Raw genomic sequence first — 3,653 nt, 5'->3', positions numbered from 1 at the left:
AAGATTTAAGGGATTTTGGAGATCTTAACTGACGACAGGTGAGTAATATAAACCTTTTATCTCCCTTTATCCCACTGCTAAAATGGTCAGTTTTATAAATGGCTATATTCAATCCTAAATTTGTCCAATATATTGTACAAAGTGGAATGAAAAGAGAGAAGAATTGGTACACAATAACCTGTGAAGGCTCCCAGCAACTTAGTCCTCTAAAATAAGTGGAAAATTGTTTTTTTTCAATGTCTGAGAGATTTCCCTTTATAGGTCTGCTGAGTTGTATTTTGTCAGCTCCTATTAAATTGTGTTGTCATGATACCTATGAATCTTACAAAGTATAGAAAGACTTTATTTCAACTTTTATAAACCTTCAAAAATGGGGGGAAAGATTTATAATCTCTTATTTTAGAGAGACTATTCAATTTATTATTTTTTTTAGTTCCTTGTACTATGAAGTCACACTCTTGGTATCTAGGCATATAAAAAAGTCTCAAGGAATTTTGGAGATATGTAAATAGTCTTCTGTTTTTTCCAACATGTATGAAATAAAAATATAATTATCTTGTGAATGCTTGATATGGTTTCAATGACTACATTGAGTGCACTGTCTTTCCAATAAAAAATAGACACCTGGCATATATGCTTGTGTGTGCATGTGTCTGTGTGCTGATTTTTTTCCACTCTGTTGAAACAGATACAAATAGTAATTTTACCTAATGGCCTTAGCTACAATGCATGATAAGACTTCACTGATGGGCCAGGCGCGGTAGCTCATGTCTATAATCCCAGCACTTTGGGAGGCCGAGGTGGGCGGATCACGAGGTCAGGAGATTGAGACCATCCTGGCTAACATGGTGAAACCCCGTCTCTACTAAAAAATACAAAAAATTAGCCAGGCATGGTGGCGGGTGCCTGTAGTCCCAGCTACTCGGGAGGCTGAGGCAGGAGAATGGCATGAACCTGGGAGGCGGAGGTTGCAGTGAGCTGAGATTGTGCCAGTGCACTCCAGCCTAGGCGAGAGAGCGAGACTCAAAAAAAAAAAAAATCCTTCACTGAACTTCACTGATGGATTCTGAACAAAGAAAAATAAATTGAGTCTGGAGTTAAAGAAAACTAACTTGGTGGCACCCATAAGAGGTAACAATAATTCATACCACAGTGCTGAAGCGCTGGTCATAGAAATGTAAGCCTTTAAATGAGATGAGTGTTGGTAACAGCCTGGTTTCAGAAATGTATAAATAGTTACAGTGCTCATAGTCAGGGGGCTAACAATATTTGAAAAAGTTCCCTCTATTTTGGAGCTAAATCTGACTAAGCTTTTGGGACACAAAAAGATAATATTGGAAAGACTAGGCCTGTTATGAGAGTTCAAGTTAAGCAAGTTTGTGTTTAGGGCATGTTTCTGGGGCCATATGGAAAATAGCCTGTTATTCAGGAAACAGAAGTCCAGATCTACTGAAATGTCAATCTAGACAGAAGAGAGAGAAAGGAGACAATTTGGTGCGACGTGGATACCTCGTGCCAATCTATCATGTCAGGCATAAAATTAGCAAGGCTAATTTTAGCAGCTATCTGATAATAAACTTGGTTTTCTGATACACTGAAAAGTTTGGTCTGGATTTGTGCATGAATAATTTTCTAGTATACCAAGAAATAGGATATGGAAGAGTAAACTATAGCTAGAAATTATTGGAACTTAGGATGGACAAAATAAGTTTTTTAAAATGATCAGGAAGTGCTTTCATTGTCAGCAGGCCTGACTGACTGTGGGAAGCGCGCCATGGCTTCTTAACCAACGTGGTGCAGTGTAAATACTCCCATACCTAGAAAGTGTGGGAGTTGCCACTCCCATCTTTACAACAAGAAAAAGCTGAACAAACTTGAAAATCAACAACTTCTTTTTGGATGCATCAGAGAACTTAGTTCACAGGGCACACTACCCCCCTTGAATCTGGAGACACAGGTGGATCTAGAGTAACGTCAAAAATCTGCTTATCTGGAGAAAAATCCACTAGAGACATAAACTAATAGGAACACATAGATGGTAATTCCAGTAACACTGATTGTGGACTAGCATGAGAGTGAAAATCTTCCCTGGGCCACAGTTTTAGAAAAGGCTCCACACTTTAATGGGTTTTACCTCTAGGAACCATTCCTACCAGGTTCTCATGGTGAGGAGTCAAGAAAGATCCCTTTGTGGCTTTGGCAGGGAGAGAGAAAGAGTAATCATTGTGAAACATACCCAGAGCTTACTTGATTCTCCATACCAAAGGACTTCTCTACAGGAAAAAATACCTTAACAGCCTTACCCCAGCTGCGAGAAAGACATTTTCCTGCTCCAAAACCCTCTTGCCGTCCTGACTCATTTAAGGAAGGTAACAGGCCAGGAACGTGGGCCTACTAAAAGACTCTGAGTTAATCATAAGTTTATAAAACACTTCCCCTCTGCACATCTTACCACCATACCAATGTGGCTTCAGTAAAATAACAGTGGATTGCAGCTGAAAGAGCTTCAAGATGCAGACTCTTTCTAAGTAGAACTTAACTTACTGAAGTTTAAAGTGAAGAGGGGAAGCAAAAACAAGGACACTAGAGGATATTGAAGCCTCTAACACATACAGCTACAACGAACTAGCCAGTCCACCTCCTAGCCAGATTAACATAAAACATCACACTGAGTCCTGTTTAACCTCAGTTCCTATTATCACCGTGTCTGGTTTTCAATAAAAAAGTTCAAGGCATACTAAAACACATCTGAAGAGACAACTAACAGAACCAGACTCAGATACGACACAGATGTTGTGATTATCAAACAGATTTTAAAATAACTGAATAATTTAATAAGAGCAAAAATGGATAAAGTAGACATACAAAAACAGATGGGTAGTATAAGCAGAAAGTCATGGAAACCCTAAGAAAGAAACAAAAGGAAATGCTAGAAACAAAAACTACACTGTAACAGACAGGAAGAATGCCTTTGGTGGGCTCATCAGTAGACTGGATGTGGCCAAGGGAAAAAAAAAATCAGTAAACTTGAAGATATGTAAATAGAAACTTCCCAAACTGACATGCAAAGAGAAAAAAGATTGGCAGGGGCAGGGGGGAGGGTAAAACCAGAATAGAATAGCTAAGAACTGTAGGACAACTTCAAAAGGTGTAGCGTACACATAACTGCAATACCAGAAGTAGAAAAAAGAGAGAACACAGCAGAAGAAATACCTGAATAGTTACTGGGAATGTTTCAAAATTGATGACACATATAAAACCACAAATCCAGGTAGCTCAGAGAACACCAAGCGGCATAAATATCATAAAACAAATAAATATACAAAAAACTGAAAAGTATTTTTAAAAAAACCCTAAAAAATACATCTGGATATATTACATTCCAACTGCAGAAAAACAAAGACAAACAGAAAATCTTGAATGAATCTGGTATAAGGTATATGGGGAAAAATGTACCCATAGGTCAACAAAAATAAGAATTATAGTGGTTTCCTCATCAGAAACCATGTTAGCAAGAAGAGAATAGAATGTGAGATGTTGAGTTTTGAAAGAAAAAAATTCTAGAATTCTGTAGTGAATTATTTTTAAAATTAAAGAAGAAATAAAGACTTTCTCAGACAATCAAAAATTGATGAAATTCACTTTCAGCATAC

This window comes from Homo sapiens, chromosome X (genome assembly GCF_000001405.40).
Source record: "Homo sapiens chromosome X, GRCh38.p14 Primary Assembly".
Lineage (NCBI taxonomy): Eukaryota > Metazoa > Chordata > Mammalia > Primates > Hominidae > Homo > Homo sapiens.
This window is presented reverse-complemented; position numbering follows the sequence as displayed.